At 36.8% G+C, this 20,613-nt stretch overlaps 1 protein-coding gene across 1 annotated transcript in view; it reads left to right on the top strand.

Moving 5' to 3' along the window:
• The window catches only part of NDUFAF2 (NADH:ubiquinone oxidoreductase complex assembly factor 2), a 207,822-nt gene that overhangs the window by 141,989 nt on the left and 45,220 nt on the right, over window positions 1–20,613 (top strand). Inside the window, exon 3 of the mRNA NM_174889.5 lies at window positions 11,799–11,839. Within this exon, the coding sequence (NP_777549.1) occupies window positions 11,799–11,839 (41 nt within the window). The remainder of the gene's footprint in view (window positions 1–11,798; window positions 11,840–20,613) is intronic.

The raw sequence follows: 20,613 nt of genomic DNA on the forward strand, positions 1-20,613 counted from the left end.
AAAAAAAGAAGTCATATGGGTACACATTGAGAAGATGGCTGCCTACAAGCCATGAGAAGAAGCCCCAGAAAGAAGCTGATTATACTGGCATCTTGATCTCAGACTTCCAGCCTCCAGAACTGTGAGAAAATAACTTTCTGTTGTTTAAGCCACTCAGTCTGTGGTGGTTTGTTATGGCAGCCGAAGCAGACTAAGACAATACATAAAATCAGTAGTCATCAAGGGATACTAATTAAAACAACAGTGAAGTACCACTACATACAACTAGACTGACTAATATTTTAGAAATTGATAATACCAACAAAACTGACAATACATTCATGAAGATGTAAAGTACCTGAAACTTTCATATATTTCTGACTAGAGTGTAAAATGTTACAACTACTTTGGAAAACAGTTTATTAGTTCTTTATCAGTTTAAACATACACACTTATCCTACAACCTGGACATTTTATGGCTAAGTATTCACCCAGAGACATAAAGACATAAGTCCAAACAAATTCTTGTACCGGAATTTTCCCAGCAGCTTTATTCATAATAGCCAAAAACTGAAAACCACTAAAATGTCCAACAAGTGAGAGGATAAACAAATTGTCATACTTCCATGCAAAGGAATACTACACATCAATAAAAAATAATGAACTGCTGATATGCTCATTATGTTTGTTTTTATTGCTGTATGTCAACATTACCACAATAATAATAGCTTAAAATAAGACACATTTATTATCTTACAGTTTCTGTGCATCAGGAGCCCAAGCACAGCCTAGCTAGGTTCTTTAGTTAAGGGTTTCACTAAGCTGTAATCAACCCAAGGCTGGGTTCTCATCTAGAGACTTGATTAGGAAAAGCTCTACCATCCCACTTGTGTGGTTGTTGGCAGCATTCAGTTCATTGCTGTTGTAAGACTGAGAGCTTCACTTTTTCACTGGTTGTTGGCCAAAGACCACACTGAGTCCTAGAGGTCACTGGCAATTTCTTGCCAATGGTGTTTCCCAATATGGCCACATTTTCCTTACAGCCAGCCAGGGGGAAAAATACTCCAGCCAAGATGAGCACCATAATCTTATATAACGTAATCACATGAGCACATATATCCCATCACCTTTGCCGTGTTCTTATAATTAGAATTCATGGGTCCTACCCTCATTCAAGGAGAAGAGATAATACAAATGTATGAGTACCAGGAGGTGGTGGTTGTGTAGGCTACCTTAAGAGTATCACTCATTGCCTGGGGACTATGGGTAGGATAAGGTGGGTGTTTCCATGTAAACAGACTGGGGAACTTTTATAGGTGATGGAAATGTTCTGTCTGTTGATTGTGGTGCTAATTACAGGATTGTAAATATTTTTGTTAGAAGTTGTGGAATTGCACACTTGAAATGGCTCACAGTATTTTGTAAATTATACCTCAATAAAGTTAAGAGAAAAGACAGTAATAGCCATGAGCACCACAAAATTTGTAACTTAAAGATGCCAACTTAATAATATCCCTAAGATATCCTTAAAAGTCAATAATTGGAAAATGATTTGTTTCATAATATATCCTTTGAAGGATTTTCACAGTAAAAACTGTGGATCTCTTATTTTTATAGTCCTTTATGAAGTGTCAGCACTCAGAACTAGCAAAGATCATTTTTTTAAAGATGAGGCTTTATTACAGTCTCTTCTGTAAGTGAAGTAAGCACATATTTCTAATGCAATATCTTTTGGATGCAGACTATTGATAACCTTTCCGTAATTTTGGTTCTGAATGGTTACCTACTGGATCTGGTGATAGAGTATTTCATTTACTTTAGCCTCTATTGACAACGCTTCTAAAGGTGTACTTGCCATTTTTAGCACCTGTGGAGATTTGAAGAGTGTATGCTTCATGAAGTATTTTCTTGCTTGATTCTTCTAGTCTCTTTAAGTGATTAAAGGGTGCTTTAATTTGCATACTCACCTTTAATCTTATTATAGTGGCTTATATTCTAATAGGAATATTAAAGTTCAGTGAAAATCTCATACATGCTGATGAGAATGCAAATGAATATTGACGAAAGAATGCTAGGATCATAAGGTGTAAACTGTCCAGTTATCTTGCTAAATTCATTTCAAACAATGTTTACATTATAATGAGGACTGATACAGATTTCACCACATAAATATCACTAGCAGTGGCAAAATTATATAATTTATAATTGGATAATGGTTCAGTTTCAGACTGTTTTGAAGTTAACAAAAACAACAAAGTAATGTCTTGATATTAATGCAAACTTCAGCTGGTCATTTGTTGTATGTAGTAGTTGGGAAATTGGGTATGATTTTACAAATAAGTGGTCACGTTGAGCATTTCCGGCTGTAGCCTTTACAGGATGCATAACAAATAGTAGTGGCATCACTCATCATCCCAACAGGACATTTCAAGTATCTGGTTATTGTACAATTATAAATATACAAGCTTATTTCAGTAGTTATGTTTATGTATCTGTGTAAAACCAAGATTCATTAAATGGTCATTGAAAATGAAGCTAAAAGAAGTCCCCTGACAGTAAATAGACTAGGCAATATTTATTATAATACATTCAGTATTTAAGTTCTATTACATTCTTATATTAATGGATGAATTTTATAAACTTATGCAAAACCAGTAAGCTTTAGAAAACATATAACAGAGTTTCTCCAACCTCTTTAACTACTTTGGAATTTTTTTAATGATTTGTATTCAATTGAAGTATTTTTTTTTTCAGCCTTACAAGAGAACTGAAAATGCTGTTTTATAGACTCATCAGTAGGGCAGATTGTTATTTAGAGTTGTTTTTCTCATGGTGACGATAAGTGTGCATTATGCCATTATACTTTTTCAGCATGGTCTTATGCCCACTGGTGTGTCTTCATAGACTCTAGAATACATGGTAATCATTAGTTAAAAGTATAATAATCAATAATGATTTTTATTTTAAATAATATGAAAGTGTTTTTGCATCAAAATATGTATTTTTCGCTAAAGGGATTATACTTAATTGTAGCCCTGGCACAGGAGTTGGCAAACTTTTTCTTTAAAGGTCCGGATGGTAAATATTTTAGGTTTTTTATGGGCCACTTAGTCAGTTACAATTACTCAACTCTAATGTTGTAGCACAGAAGCAGCCACAAATAATATGTAAACAAATGTTTGTCTGTGTTCCAATCAACCTTATTTCTAGACACTGAAATTTTGAATTCTCTATGATTTTCATGTCATGAAATACTGTTCGTCTTTTGATGTTTTTGCAACCATTAAAAAAATGTAAAAAGTGGTAGGCTAAACTTGGCTTGCAGGCTATACTTTGCTGACACCTGTCCTAGAAGTTGATTTTTCTAAAGCTAGAATTAACTTCTACTCTACATTAAAACTGAAGATATATTGCTGAAACCTTTTATAGATATATAGTTCATGTTGAGTTATTTTAAAAGGAAGCTGTTTTCTAGAAAAAAAATCATAATTATACATAAGTAACTTTATTTTTAAAAAAACTTTTATTTTAAGTTCAGGGGTACATATGCAGGTTTGTTACATAAGTAAATGTGTGTCTGGAGATTTTGATGTGCAGATTATTTAATCACCCAAGTATTCAGCCTAGTACCCCATTAGTTATTTTTCCTGATCCTCTCCCTCCTCCCATCCTCCACCCTCCAATAGGCTTCAGTGTGTGTTGTTCCTCTCTAGGTGTCCATGTGTTCTCATAATTTAGCTCCCACTTATAAGTGAGAACATGCATTATTTGGTTTTCTGTTCCTGTGTTAGTTTGCTAAGGATAATGGCTTCTGGCTCCATCCATGTCCCTACAAAGGCATGATCTTGTTCTTTTTTATGGCTGCATGTATTCCATGGTGTATATTTACCACATTTTCTTTATCCAGTGTATCGCTGATGAACATTCAGGTTGATTCCATGTCTTTGCTATTGTGAATAGTGCTGCAATAAACATACACATGCATGTGTGTTTATAATAGAATGATTTATATTCCTCTAGGTTTATACCCAGTAATGGGATTGCTAGGTCAAATGGTATTTCTGTCTTTAGGTCTTTGAGGAATCTCACACTGTCTTCTACAATGGTTGAACCAATTTACACTCCCACCAACAATGTATAGCATTCCTTTTTCTCTGCAACCTTGCTAGTGTCTGTTATTTTTTGACTTTTTAATAATAGCCATTCTGACTGGTGTGAGATGGTGTGATTTGCATTTCTTTAACAATCAGTAATGAGCTTTTTATTTTATGATTGTTGACCACATGTATGTCTTCTTTTGAGAAGCGTCTGTTCATGTCTTTGGCCTACTTTTTAATGGGGTTGTTTATTTTATTTTCTTGTAAATTTGTTTAAGTTTCTTACAGATGCTGAATATTAGACCTTTGTCAGATGCATAGTTGGTAAAAATTGTCTTCCAGTCTGTAGGTTGTCTGTTGACTTTGTTGATAGTTTCTTTTGCTGTGCAAAAGTTCTTCAGTTTAATTATATTCCATTTGTCCATTTTTGCTTTTGTTGCAATTGCAACAAAATTGCAAATTTTGTTTTGAGAATTGGTGTCTTCTCATGAAATTTTTGCCCATTTCTATATGCTCAGTGGTATTGCCTAAGTTGTCTTCCGAGGTTTTGTAGTTTTGGGTTTTACATTTAAGTCTTTAATCCATCTTGAGTTAATTTTTGTGTGTGTATAAGGAAGTGGTCCAGTTCCAATTTTCTGCATATGGCTAGCCAGTTATCCCAGCACCATTTATTGCATAAGAAATTCTTTCCCCATTGCTTGTTTGTGTCAGGTTTGTTGATCAGATAGCTGTAGGTGTGCAGTCCTATTTCTGGACTCTCTATTCTGTTTCATTGGTCTATGTGTCTGTTTTTGTATCAGTACCATGCTGTTTTGGTTACCATAGCTCTGTAGTATAGTTTGAAGTTGGGTAGTGTGATGCCTCCAGCTTTGTTTTGTTTGTTTGTTTTTTGTTTTGTTTGTTTTGTTTAGGATTGCTTTGGCTATTCAGGCTCTTTTTTGGTTCCATATGAATTCTAAAATATTTTTTTCTAGTTCTGTGAAGAACGTCAATGGTAATTTAATGGGAATAGCATTGAATCTGTAAATTGCTTTGGGCAGTATGGCCATTTTAGCAATATTGATTCTTCCAGTCCGTGCGCATTGAGTGTTTTTCCATTTGTTTGTGTCATCTCTGATTTTTGGGCAGTGGTTTGTAGTTCTCCTTATCGAGATCTTTCACCTCCACTGTATTCCTAGGTACTTAATTCTTTTTGTGGCAATTGTGAATGGGAGTTAGTTTGTAATTTGGCTCTCTGCTTGAGTTTTGTTGGTGTATAGGAGTGCTAGCAATTTTTGCACATTGATTTTGTATCCTGAGACTTTGCTGAAGTTGCTTATCAGCTCAAGAAGCTTTTGGGCTGAGGCAGTGGGGTTTTCTAGATACAGGATCATGTCATCTGCAAACAGGGATAATTTGACTTCCTCTCTTCCTATTTGGATGCCCTTTACTTTTTTTCTCTTGCCTGATTTCCCTGGCCAGAACTTCCTATACTATGTTGAATACAAGTAGTGAGAGAGGGCATCCTTGTCTTGTGCCACTTTTCAAGGGAATTGTATTAGTCAGAGTTCTCTAAAGGGACAGAACTAATAGGATATATGAATATAAGAAGGGGAGTTTATTAGGAGAATTGACTCACACGATCACAAGGTGAAGTCCCACAATAGGCCATCTGCAGCTGAGGAGCAAGGAAGCAAGTCTGAGTCCCAAAACCTCAAAAGTAGGGAAGCTGACAATGCAGCCTTCAATCTGCAGCTGAAGGCCCAAGAGTCCCTGGCAAATCACTGGTGTAAGTTCAAGAATCTAAAAACTGAAGGACTTGGAGTCTGAAGTTCGAGAGCAGGAAGCATCCAGCATGGGAGAAAGAGTAAGTCCAGAAGGCTCAGCAAGTCTGCTCATTCCGCTTTCTTCTGCCTGCTTTATTCTAGCCATGCTGGCAGCTGATTAGATGGTACCCACCCAGATTGAAAGTTGTTCTGCCTCTCCCAGTCCACTGACTTAAATGTTAATCTCCTTTGGCAACACCCTCATAGACACACCCAGGAACAATATATTTTATCCTTCAATCCAATCACGCTGACACTGAATATTAACCATCACAGGAATGCTTCTAGCTTTTGCCCATTCCATATATCGGCAGTGGATTTGTCATATATGGCTCTTATTATTTTAAGGTATGTTCCTTCAATGCCTAGTTTATTAAGAGTTTTTAACATGAAGGGATGCTGATTTTAATTGACAGCCTTTTCTGCATCTGTTGAGATAATCATGTGGTTCTTGTCTTTAGTTCTGTTTATGTGATGAATCACATTTATTGATTTGCATATATTGAACCAGCCTTGCGTCCCAGGGATGAAGCCAACTTGATTGTGGTGGATAAGCTTTTTGATGTGCTACTGTATTCAGGTTGCTAGTACTTTGTTGAGGATTTTTGCATTGACATTCATCAAGGATATTGGCCTGAAGTTTTCCTTTTTTGTGGTATCAAACACTGCCAGGTTTTGGTATCATGGTGATTCTGGCCTCATAGAATGAGTTAGGGAGGAGTCCCTCTTTTTTAATTTTTTGGAATAGTTTTAGTAGGAATAGTTCCAGCTCTTCTTTGTACATCTAGTAGAATTCAGCTATGAATCTGTCTGGTCCTGGGCTTTTTTGGTTGGTAGGCTATTTATTACTGCCTCAATTTCAGAACTTGTTATTGGTCTGTTTAGGGATTCAGTTTCCTCCTGGTTCAGTCCTGGGATGGTGTATGTGTCAGGAATTTATCAATTTCTTCTAGACTTTCTAGTTTATGTGGATAAAGGTGTTTATAATATTCTCTGATGGTTTTTCTTTCTATGGGGTCAGCGATACCCCGTATCTTTTAGATACACCAATCAATCAGATTTGGTGTGTTTACATAATCCCATATTTCTCAGAGGTTTTGTTCATTCTTTTTCATTCTTTTTTGACTATTCTTGTCTGCCTGTCTTATTTCAGAAAGACCGTTTTCAAACTCTGAGATCCTTTCCTTAACTTGGTCTATTCTGTTATTAATACTTGTGATTGCATTATGAAATTCTTGTATTATGGTTTTCAGCTCTATCAGGTTGGTTACATTCTTCTCTATACTGGCTGTTTTGTCCGTCAGCCTCTGCAATGTTGTATCACAATTTTTAGCTTCTTCGCATTGGGTTACAACATGCTCCATTAGCTCAGTGAAGTTTGTTTTTATTCATATTCTGAATTCTACTTCGGTCATTTCAGCCATCTCAGCTTAAGCGCAGTTCTGAGCCCTTTCTGGAGAGGTGATGTGGTCATTTGGAGGAAAGAGGCCACTCTGGCTTTTTGAGTTTTCAGTGCTCTTGCACTGATTCTTCCTCATCTTTGTGGACTTATCTACCTTTGATCTTTGAAGTTGCTGACCTTTGGATGGGTTTTTATTTTTTAGTTTGTTTGTTTCTTTTAATAGTCTAGTCAGTTTTCCATAGGGCTACTGCAGTTTTCTGGGGATCCACTCCAGTCCCTAGTCACCTTGAATTTTCCAGTACCTGTAGACATCACCAATGAAGGCTGCGAAACAGCAAAGCTGGCAGCCTGCGCCTTTCTCTGGGAGCTCCTTCCCAGGGAGATACAGACCTGTTGCCGGCCTGAATGCACTTGTAGGAGGGGGCTAGAGACCCCAGTTAGGAGGTCTCACCCATTTAGGAGGAACAGGATCAGAGACCTGCTTAAAGAAGCAGTCTAGCTATGCTTTCATAGAGCAGCTGTGCTGTGCTGGGATACCGCTTCCACCCCTGGTCAACTTGGACTCTCCAAAGCCCGGAGCCTGGAATGGCTATGTCACCGAAACAGCAAAGATGGCGGCCTAACTCTCCCTCTGGGAGCTCTGTCTCAGGAAGTTCTCAAATCTCTGTCAGCCTGAGAACATGGGCAGGGTGGCTGGAGGCCCCAGTGGGGAGCTCCTGCCCGGGGAGGAGGAACAGATCAGGGGGCCACTTTAAAGAAGCAGCCTGGCCACATTTTGGTAGAACAACTGTGCTGTGCTGGGAGATCCCTTTTGTTTCTGGTCGGTTTGGACTCTCCAAAGTTCACAGGTTGGAACTGCAGAGTTATCCAAACAGCAAAGATGGTGGCCCTTCCCTCCCCCAAGGAACTCTGTCCCAGGTAGGGGGCGACACTGTTGCCAGTGGTTGGCTGGAATTCTAAGCCAGTGGGTCTTGTCCTTTGAGGCACTGTGGAAGTGGGGCCTGCGGACCATCACTGCTTAGCCCCCTCGATTCAGCCTTCTTCCTAGGGGTATGTACAGAGGTCCAACCTCCTGCCTTGACAGAGCTGCAGTCACTATTGCCAGGAAGTGTGGAGCCTAAGTATGTAGAGCTGCGCCTCTGTGCGTGCCTGAGTGGCTGCTCTGCCAAGAGTCCACACAGCTCTGTGTCAGACCAAAGGCCCTGGTGGAGTGGGTTTAGGAGGAGATCTCCTGACTCAGGGTTGCAAAGATCCATGGGAGAAGCATGGTTTCCCAGGGTCACACATTTGAATACTCACCACTTCCCTAGGTGGGGGAGGTTCCCCTGGCTCCATGTCGCTCCAGGGTGGGCTGTTGTGCTGTCTTGCTTTTCTTCATTCTCCAGGGGTCGAGTTGTTTCCTTGATTAGTACCAATGCGAGTACCTGGATGTTTCAGTTGAAGGGGCTATATTTACTCGCCCCTTTGGTTGCTCTCCATGAGAGCCACGTACCCTAGCTGTTTCTAGTCGTCCATCTTGGCCTGAATCTAAGTAACTTTAATTTGGGCCATAAAGAGGCAATTGAAAAATTCCCAAAGTCACTTATTTCCTTGACTACACAAAGGAATTGTGGTATTGCTAAGCTGGATTTTCTAATAAAGATCAAAATCCTGATAGAACAAATATTTTTCAAAATATTCATTCAATAATTTTTAAAGTACCACCTCTTTTATAGCATTTAAAAGAGTAAATACCCCAAAAGAGTAGGTACTTAAAATGACAGAAAAATAAATCTCCCATGGGTACCTCCTGCCTTTGACAACCTTACAGACTCACAAGGGAGATTAAAACCTTTGCAAGTTGGCCAGGTGTGGTGGCTCACGCCTGTAATCCCAGGACTTTGGGAGGCTGAGGCGAGCAGATCACGAGGTCAAGAGATCGAGACCATTCTGGCCAACACGGTGAAACCCCGTCTCTACTAAAAATACAAAAATTAGCTGGGCGTGGTGGCGAGTGCCTGTAGTCCCAGCTACTCGGGGGGCTGAGACAGGAGAATTGCTTGAACCAGGGAGTCGGAGGTTGCAGTGAGCCAAGATTGCGTCACTGCACTCCAGCCTGGCAACAGAGTGAGACACCATTGCAAAAAAAAAAAAAAAAAAAAATCTGTACAAGTTTTGGCTAGAAATTGGCCAAATAGGAGTAAAAGCTAATAGAAACAGAATACAGGCTGGGTGCAGTGGCTCACGCCTATAATTCCAGCACTTTGGGAGGCCAAGGTGGGAAGATCACTGAAGGTCAGGAGTTCAAGACCAGCGTGGCCAACATGGTGAAACCCCATCTCTACAAAAAATACAAAAATTAGCTGGGCATGGTAGCGAGCACTTGTAATCTCAGCTACTTGGGAGGCTGATGCCAGAGAATCACTTGAATCCGGGAGACAGAAGTTGCAGTGACCTGAGATCACACCATTGCACTACAGCCTGGGTAACAGAGCGAGACTGTCTCAAAAAAAAAGAAAGAAGGAAACAGAATGCAGAAAGAATAACAAGGGTAGAAATTTAGAAACAGTAGTAGAGAATGGAGAACACTGGAACTGTATTGGAGATACATGTAAGGGATAAGTGCAAGAGAGAATAGAGCAGGGGGAAATGACTGATCCCAAGCCCGCAGTTGAATGTTGCTGTTTCCACCCCCACAAACCATTCAGTGCTGGGCTTTTTATGAAGACAAGTCCTGGTGCTATTACAGATGATCCTTGGTTTGCAGTGAGGTTATGTCCCAATAAGCCTATCATATGTTGAAAATATCATCATGTAGAAAATGCATTTAATACACCTAGACTACTAAACATCATAGCTTAGCCTAGCCTACTTTAAATGTGTTCAGAACACTTACATTAACCTACAGTTGGGCAAAATCATCTAACACAAAGCTTACTTTATAATAAAGTTTTGAATAACTTATGTAATTCATTGAATAAGTACTGAAATGAAAAACAGAATGGTTTCATACCATGGTAAAGTCAAAAATCCTAAGTCAAACTACTGTAAGTCAGTGACAGTCTGTGCCTAAATGAATAAGGCTGGCTGTTAGAGCTGGTCACAAGAGATAGTGGCTGGTGAATGGATAAAGCTAAGACTTTAGAGCCAGTTCAACCAGGGTTTAATTCCCAGTCGCTAATTATATGGCATTAGGAAAGTTTCTTAATCTCTCTGGGCCTCAGTTTCCAAATCTCTAAAATGGGATCAATAATTCTTATTTTTCTAACATGTAGTTAGGGTCACACCTAGCCTGGCTTTCTCTTTCTGGTTTAATATTCTTTGCATGTTGTTCATAAACTTTGAAAGACTGCTTAGTTGAGCGTGGATGGTTTTTAGAGCCAGAGACAGGGTCAGATCTGAATTCAAATACAACCATTACTACTTAATGTATAAATTTGAGGAATTCATTTTATTTCTATTTCTTCAATTTTGTAGTGAAGAGTGAATCAACTGAAATGATAAAACAGTGGCCTTCAAGATCATATTCCCTACAATATATTTTCTCACAGTCTCCTATACAACATTGCAGGCTAAGCAGATATTATTGATCTTTTGTTTTTTGAGTCTTATTTTTAAGAGATTTATTGAATAATAGTAATAATTATACTAATAACTTAGACTTATGTGCCAGGCTTCAAAGTAAACATTTATGTATATTATCTTATATAATTTTCACAACAACCCTGAAGTGTAGATACTTTTATAATTTCCATTTTATAGATGGGAAGCCTGATGCTTAGAAAATTAAATAACTTGCTCCAGGTGACACAGACAGTAAGTGATGAAGCTGGGATTTGAACCCAGAAAATCTGACTTTAGAATCTCATAAGCACTATACTATACTGTCTTCCATGTGATTCTGATAACTTCCCTAAAGGCAGCTGCCCCACTCCCTTCCCATTGCTGCAAAGCATCCAGCACAGTACCCAGGCCCCAGCAGCCACTTAACAAATGTGGGCTCTATCTCTGCAGCCCATCTGCCAAGTGTTAGAGCTAAGGCCTGATGATATTTTTGCTTGCTGGAGCAAATCAGAAAAGAAACCTCTGTAAATGAAAAACTTTTCTAAGTCCCTTCCTTTATAAATTGAACAGTAACTAATTCAAATTTCCAGAATAATATAATTTTGATATTGTCTTGAAGTTTGCTGTATTTTGGTTTGGCTTGTATGCCATAAATATACCCAGTCGAATTTAGATGATTAGGAGGTATGATTTTAAACATATGAAACTGTCCCCTCTTTATCTTCTCTACACTATTATATTCTCTTCATGACACATATCACCACCAACCATATGTTTGTGTGTTTATTTTCTGCAACCCCTTCAGTAGTACATGTGCTACAGTAGAGAAGGGACTTAATCTGTTTTATTCCCTGCTGTATCTCCAGTACCTAAAATAATATGGAGTAGGTACTCAAAAAAATTTGTTTTATGGATAAAAATGTTTGTGTAAATTATGGGAAACTGACATTTAAATATTATTTTTCTTTCTAGCTTGGATTAGAAGAACAAGAAAGACTCCACCTACTATGGAGGTAAGACTACACAAGGAGGATATCATTTAGGAGTATATATTCCCAAGGATATACGAAGCTTCAGAAAAACTATGATGTATTTTCTCAAAGTGTTGATTTTATTCCATCACAGAAAATAACTTAAAACATTTTATAATAAATTAATATATAAACCTATATTATTAATAAAATAATATATGATAAAATAAATGCTCATATTATGGAATATAACAAAATTTGTATAAATTTTAAAGTGAAATAATAAAAATTTAAAACAAAATTAAAACACTCTGTAGAAAGTCTGAACTTGGAGCAGTTTGCACCAGGTTATTTCCCCTGGGCCCTGGGGGTTCTCTGTGCCAATACTCAAGCTTTTGTGGAAAAGTTTGAGAAACACTGAATCTCTTTGTCTTGTCCAAATCATGCTCTTATGTTTCCCTTAATATTATGTATTTAAATCCATCAAGTATCCAAAGAAACTTTAAAATACAGAATTAGCAATTATTTTATAACAGTAATTATTAGTTGACTTTTTATTTAAAACTAAAAAATTTGTAGTCAGTGATAAACAATAAAAAAACATAGAAATGCTATGGTATATATGTTTTACAATATAATTTTTATATAGATTATTTTATAAAAATTATAATTTTAATTTTAAAAATATGTAAAGACCTCTAAAGTTATTTTATAAGAAGTAATTTCATAAAAGGAGAGTCTCTAAATGCATTAGTGTACTGCCTTGTTTACTTTTTGTCTAGAGGCATTCCCTTTCTTCTACTATTTAGGACTTCCCTCCTCTCTTCTGTTGCCTATTCTGTCACTACTACAAGCCCTGATGACAACATAAATGGGCTCCGGTACTCAATCCCCATTTGTTGGGAAGTGGAGTGCTCTAGAGCAGGATAATGATGATACCTCAACTGGCATGCTTATGTTTATTTGCTCCATACATTTGTCATATACTGAACCCATTAATGTTCATTCGGCCAGGGTCTGACTGAGTACATCTCTTGACCCATTTCTAGCTTTGTATGTTGCTTCTGCCTTGGCCTACTTTTCGCAGACCCTTCTTTCCAACATTGATAAAATTTGGAATAAAAGCTGTTTTGGGGGGAAAAAATAAAAGGCAATATGATCCAGGATTCAGAAGTATGCCCAGTAGTTTACAGTGAAGGATGGATTGAAGAGCCTTCTGATTCTCCTTCTCTTGGTCATAATAAGAGCTACTGTTATCATTTGCTTCATCCATCCTCAGAACTTTGAAAGCCTTATTCATAGAAACATTAATATGCAAAGTGATTAATGGAGGCAATTGCAATAGTTGGGCCTCAGGCACAACTTCTGTAAATTTTAGGTAATTTCAGCACCTCAAACAATCTCTAGCCAGAACACACCAAGTCCTTCCATCCCTGAGCTCACTCTTGTTAATTTTGATTATCCAAAATGAGCCCTCTTTTGTTGCCTCCCTTTAAGTGTACTATCAATCACATTGTTCTTTATGCTGCTTCGTACCCTCCCTAATACACACACACACACACACACACACTCTTTTCCTTCCTCTTGGCCCTTTCCATTGTGTTTCAGGAATTTCTGTTTCTTTGTTAGCAAATTACCATTCACCATTAATATTTTCCTGGAAACTTTCTCTACCACAGAACCTCAACTGAAATCCGTCTGTGCCTGCAAGATAGTGAGTTCCTTTTTTTCCTTGAAGTAAGTTGTGCTCGCTTTCCCACGCCCCACATAAAGAAAGTGAGTTCAACTGCTTCTTGCTTCCCCAAATAGTCTTTGTTTGTGGACCCAAGAGAGTGGAGGACCTTTGTAATCCATGTGTATTTCTCTGTACCTGACCATCATTTTTATGTTTGCCAACATCCAAGCCAGTCTACCTTACTGATGGTCGAGATTAGAACCTGGAATATGGTCTTCTCCTTTCAATGCTTTCCCAAATTTTAGCTTTCCAGTTCTTTGACTTCATCCATACTAGTATCCCTGCCTCAAGTGAACAACCACTTCATTAGGCACACTTTAGTTTTTATCAAACACAGTTCTTACCACTGTAACTTTTACACTCTTCAAATCCAAATTCTAGATACATCATATTAAGAGGAAAAAATTTTTCTTAATGTAAAGTAAAACATATATTTATAAACCGTAACAAAAAAATAGCTTATTTAGTTATTAAGCTGTGAAATTATAAGGCAAATTCCACCCAGGTCAAGAAACACAACTTTGCCATCTACTTCAGCCCCATATATCCCATCCTAATCACAACCTTCTCTCTCTTGACAAAAGAAAACCTTAAGCCAACTTTTATAGTAATCATTTCCTCTCATTTTAAATAGTTTTTTCACCTAAATGTACATTATAGTTTAGACTTGTCCATTTCGTAAAAACTTCGTATTTGTTTTAAATCTTTCAGTCTATCCTCTTCCATTTCTTTTACTTCCTTAGAAATTTATGTGTTAAAATACCCAGCCCAGTTGGCCTACAGAATTTGCCACAGTCTAGATTTTGCTGATCTTATGTTCCTGGTGCACTTCATCATGTTCCTCTGTCCACTGTTTTCCTTCCAAGTTGACAACTGGATCCAGAAACTAGATTTTTTTTCCAGATCTTTTAGTGAATACCCAACTCCAAATAAACTTTCTTTCATATCTCCTATATATTATTGCTAAAGGTTAGCCAGCAGCCATTAGAATGTCATTTACAACAGTATTAGAAAACATAGAATACTGTGGAATTTAGTGAGCAAAACATGTGCAAGATCTGTGTACTCAAAACTACAAAATGTTGGTAAGATACATTAAATAAGACCTAAATAAATGGGGAGAAGTATCTGTTCATGGATTGGAATGTACAATATTGCTAATGTATTCATTCTTCCCAAACTGATCCACAGTAGTTCTTATGCTTTTATTTTGCATCTGCATCACCTGAAAGACTTGTTAAAACACAGATTGCTGGACCCCAAGCTTAGAGTTTTTGATCCATTAGTTTTGAGGTAGGGCCTGAATATTTGCATTTATAACATGTTGCTGGATGATGCTGATGCTGATGGTTCATAGCCCATATTTTGTGAACCACTGATTTATAGATTTAATAAAATGAATATCCAGTTAAAACCATGTCAGACTTTTTTGATAGAAATCAACATGCTGATTTGAAAATATATTTGGAAATGTAAAAGACCTAGAATAGCTGAAAGCAGCCATGAAAAAGGAGATGAAAATTAAAGGGCTAATACTGTCTGACTTTAAGAATTACTTTAAAACTATAGTTATCTAGACAGTATGATACTGGCATTAGGATACTGGGTAAATAAATCAATGGAAAAAACAAAAGTCCAAAAAGTAGATACTGTACAACCAGTTGGTTTTTAACAATGACATCAAAACAACACAATTAGGAATGGAAAGTCTTTTTAGCAAATGGTTCTGGAATAACTTAATATCCATATGGGGAAAAATTGATCCCTACCTCACGTCATACACAAATATTAATTTAAGATGGATTATAGACTAGACATAAAAGCCAAACTATTGTGCTTCTAGAAGAAAAAAACAATGGAATATCTTTGCAATTTTGAGGTAGACAGGAGACAGAACAATCTGTAAAGGAAAAATACAGATTAATCAGATTTAATCAGAATTAAATTCTAATGCTCATTATAAGAGAACATTAGGAAATCAAAAGACTAGGAGAAAATAATCATAGTACATATATCTGACAAAGGAATTGTATCTAGGCTATATAAAGAACACCTCAACTCAGTGTTATAAAAAAGAAGCTAACAAATATTGGGCAGAAATCTTGAACAAGCACTCTGTAAGACACGTTTTAAGTATATGAAAATATACTTAGCAACACTAGTAATCAGTGGAACCACAGTGAGATACCACTACACACCCATTAAAATGGCTTAAATTTAAAAGATTGACAACAGCCATCACTGGAGCACCCACAACTTTTATACAGTGCTGGTTGGGGTGAAAATGATACAATCATGTTTGAAAACTGACAGTTTGTTATAAAATCAAACATACATATACCCTGTGATCAAACAGTAATTCTCCCGGCCACCTTGAAAACTGAAGGGATCAATTTTTAGTCACACTTTCTGGGAGCTCTGGCCAACAGTAGGTCTAACACCTTGGCATACTATGCAAGGCTTCCTGATTTGGGCCCAGCCCGACTTTCTAGCTTTGTCTCCTTAGGCTACCCTACTCTTCTGTACCCTACTCTACCCTACTCTTCAAGGAACTCCCTGCTGTTTCTCAAGTTTAATGTCTTCTCCTTCTCCCATCAACTGGCATACTCCTGCTTATGTTTAATTCCTTTTAAAAGGCCCTTTAAAATCCTTGGTTGTTTTCCTCACCTTTTTTTCCCTCAACTTCTTAACTGATAGAGCTAATCACTACTTTCTCGGTATAACTACACTGCTGTGTACTCCTGTATAACTCTTTAAGTTCAATATTAAAATTCTGTGTTTTATTTGTCCATATTTCTAACTATTAGCTGTTTGGCACAGGGATTATAACTTATTCATTTGTGTGTCATAAGCACCTAACACAGAGCCTGATTCATTATTGGTTTCATTGGCCATTATAGACTTAAAAATCTCAATACTATGTAATTACATGGTTTCTGTGAGATGGGTTTGAATTTCTATCAGCCAACTACAAAATAATGTTGTAAAAGTAAACATATTTCCAAATTGATTGTTGTCTGTATTTTGTTCATAGGAATTCACATTTACCTGCAGGTTACCAGTGAAGGCGGTCCCTTACTTAGGATAGTTCAGCTTAGGATTTTTTAACTTCATGATGGTGAAAAAGCAATATGCATTCAGTAGAAACTATACTTCTGAGTACCCATACAGCCATTCTGTTTTTCACTTTCAATACAGTATTCAATAAATTACATGAGATATTTAACACTTTATTATTAAATAGGCTTTGTGTTAAGATAATTTTGCCCAACTGTAAGCTAATGTAAGCGTTCTGAGCATGTTTAAGACAGGTTAGGCTAAGCTATAATGTTTGGTAGGTTAAGTGTATCAAATGCATTTTGACTTAAGATATTTTCAATTTTGTGATGGGTTTATAAGGACATAACCCCATCATAAGTTGAGGAGCATCTGGTAATAGTTCAGCATGTGTTCTTCAGTGTTGTATAAGGTGAATTCACATTTCACAGAGCTAATGAGGTAGACTTTTCCTAGTCCTAACTCTATTCCATTAGAAGCCACTTATAGCAAATACTTTGAAATATTGCTTCTTTTTTTTATACTAACACAATAGGAAAAGTGTAAAGTTTTTTGTTTGAACAAGTGGTTACATTTATTGCCAATTTTTGACAAATTATATGGTTTATTATAGGTTTACAGGCAGTAGAAAAAAGTTACAATATTAGAGTTCAGCCTACTTCATTTTTAATATACATACTCCATAAAAAAGAAAGAGGAGATTCTAGAAACGAATAGAGAATGGAGTTGGAGATGGTGCTGCTGTTGGAGATGATACTGCTGCGGTCTAAAAAAAGGTTGGGATGGCTGGATAGGACAACACATCATAGTATCTTGTTTACTTGACCATATTCTCAAATCTGGGCTGCAGGCTCCAAAGACTTACTTTTGTTCATGTCTAAGGTTGCTTGGCCCTAAAGGACATCACAGTGACTAAATGCATGTGAATTTGAGATGGTGGCCAATCCCCATGTATTAATTTACAGTAAGAAATGAAATTGGCACAGAAAAAAAAAACAGGAGACTGCTTGGTAAATATGACATTGGAATAAGGGGAGTTAAGTAAAATAAATGTTTAATTGCCTCAGGCTTAAAATTTCATGTTGCATTCACCTTACAACAAGGATAGTCTGACCCCTAGCAATGGAAACATTTAAAGAGAATTGGCTACAATTTTCAATTCTATCTCTGTATTAGAAATAGCCTTACGAATTGTAATAGAAAAATTGCCAGGTGCTGGTTAAGCCTCCTTTTCCCATGGACAGTGTTTTTATGGATTGCCAGCATTTGTCTCTGTGATTCTATTTTTTTCTTTGCTTCTCGGTTCTGGTTGACATATTTCCTATGCCATGACAGTAGTTATACTCTGGTCAGATGTTACTGGCCCTGCAGCTATTTTTTTGTTTTATCCTTTTCCTATTTCTGCTCTGGCTTATGATGTGTTGATCTTATAGTTTAACATTCAGAGAGGAATCTTATTTCTGGATTTTTCAGGCCCATTTCAGTGTTGTCTCTAAATAACTGGCATTCATTGAGTAAGTTATCTGTGCCCAATATTACTAGGTTCATTTTATAAGTTACAGAATTAAAATGTCTTAAAATTGCCATTTTATGTATAGAATCCTACTTCCTGATGACTTAAATTGCAAAGAGTGTATGTATGTATTTATGGTTAAATGGACCTCCCACTCCTCACCCCAAACTTCACAATATCACTTTTAGTAACATAGTGGAAATGAATAAGAAAATTGCAGCATGTTCATACCTGTTAAACATCATTCATTAAAATGAATGAAAAAAAAAACTTAAGAATGAACTGGAGCTGTATGTTTTAACATGGATAAATCTCAGAAGCAATGATACTGAGCAAAAAAAAAAAAAAAGCAGCTACAGAAGATGTCATACAATATACCATTTACATAAAGTTTGAAAGCAAGGAAAGTATAAAGGGCTTTCAAGTAAAGATAGTGGGTCAAACATGTAAGTTCACTCTCAAGTCTAATGAAAATGATAGTGAAGGAATTTATTTTAAAAGACATAAACCCACAAGGTCATAGAAACGTGAGTATGCAAACCATCAATAAAGTTTTGGAGGCAGGAAAGCAGATGGACAAGAGGTAATGGATTTAGTGAAACTGAGAAGAATGAATCCTAATCTGGCAAGGGAGAAATCTGAGAAGTAATCCAATTTAAACCATAGAACCACAGAATGCTCAGTAACTGGCAGTGCCAGAAAACTCTGAAAGTGGAGTTTAAGCTCGCACTAAAAACAATGACCTAGTTAAAAATCCGTTTAAGAAGCAATTAGATGCTAACCAATAAATATAGAAGAAATAACAGAGTTGGAAAATCACCACTATTCAAGTGATAATTGGGAAAAAATTACCAGCAGATACTAAAATCATTGAGTCAAACTCTGTTGGGGAGCAGGCTGTTTACATGGTCTAAAGGCATTTCCCTACAGATTACTTATCAATTACAAAAGGGGAAAAGGGACCTTTCTAGTAGACAAATCTGACAGATACCACCTTAACTAGATGGTCAGAAGTTGTACTAAGTAGGGCAGATTTATATTATATGTGCTTCTTTCTATGATGCACTGAGGATTAAACATTATTCACATAGTATTCTTTTTTTAATTTTTGATTTTGTGGGTACTTAGTAGGTGTATATACTTAGAAGGTTCTTGAGATATTTTGATACGTGCATACAATGCGTAATAATCACATCAAGGTAAATGGGGTATTTATCACCTCAAGCATTTATCCTTTCCTTGTATTACAAACAATCTTAATTATACTCTTTTAGTTATTTGAAATATACAATAAATTATTGACTGTAGTCACTCTGTTGTACTATCAAATACTAGATTTTATTCATTCTATCTAATTATATTTTTGTGCCCATTAACCATTCCCACCCCCCCTAACACCCAGACTACCCTTCCCAGCCTCTGGTAATCATCCTTCTACTCTCTATCTCCATAAGTTCAACTCCCACAAATGAGTGAGAACATGTGAAGGTTATCTTTCTATGCCTGCCTTATTTCACTTAAAATAATGACCTCCAGTTCTATCCATGTTGTTGCAAATGGCAGGATCTCATTCTTCTTTATGGCTGAATAGCACTTCACTGTGTGTATATATCACATTTTCTTTATCAGTTGATCTGTTGGTGGACATTTAGGTTGCTTCCAAGTCTGCACTATCCTGAATGGTGCTGCAGTAAACATGGGAGTACAGGTATCTCTTCGATATTCTGATTTCCTTTCCTTTGGATAAATATACACACACACACACACACACACACACACACACACACACACACACATATATGCCTAGCAGTAGAATTGCTAGATCATATGGTAGTTCCATTTTTAGTTTTTTCAGGAACCTCCAAACTCTTCTCCATGGTGGTTGTACTAATTTACATTCCCACCAACAGTGTACAAGGGTTCCCTTTTCTCCACATTTTCACCAGCATTTGTTATTGCCCATCTTTTTGATAGAAGCCATTTTAACTGGGGTGACGTGATATCTCGTTGTAGTTTTGGTTTGCATTTCTATGATGATCAGTGATGTTGGAGCACTTTTTCATATACCTGTTTGCCATTTGCATGTCTTCTTTTGGGAAATGTCTATCCAGATCTTTTGCTCATGTTTTAATCTGTTCATTAGATTTTTCCTATTGAGTTGTTTGAGTTCCTTATATATTCTGATTATTAATCCCTTATCATATGGGTAGTTTGCAAATATGTTCTCCCATTCTGTGAGTTGTCTCTTCACCTTGTTGATTGTTACTTTTGCTATACAGAAGCTTTTTAACTTGATGTGACCCCATTTGTGCGTTTTTGCTTTGATTGCCTATGCTTGTGGGGTATTTCTCTTTTTTTAATTATGATTACTATTATTATTATTATTATACTTTAAGTTTTATGGTACATGTGCACAATGTGCAGGTTAGTTACATATGTATACACGTGCCATGCTGGTGCGCTGCACCCACTAACTCGTCATCTAGCATTAGGTATATCTCCCAATGCTAT

Source organism: Homo sapiens, chromosome 5 (assembly GCF_000001405.40).
Source record: "Homo sapiens chromosome 5, GRCh38.p14 Primary Assembly".
Taxonomy (NCBI): Eukaryota; Metazoa; Chordata; class Mammalia; order Primates; family Hominidae; genus Homo; species Homo sapiens.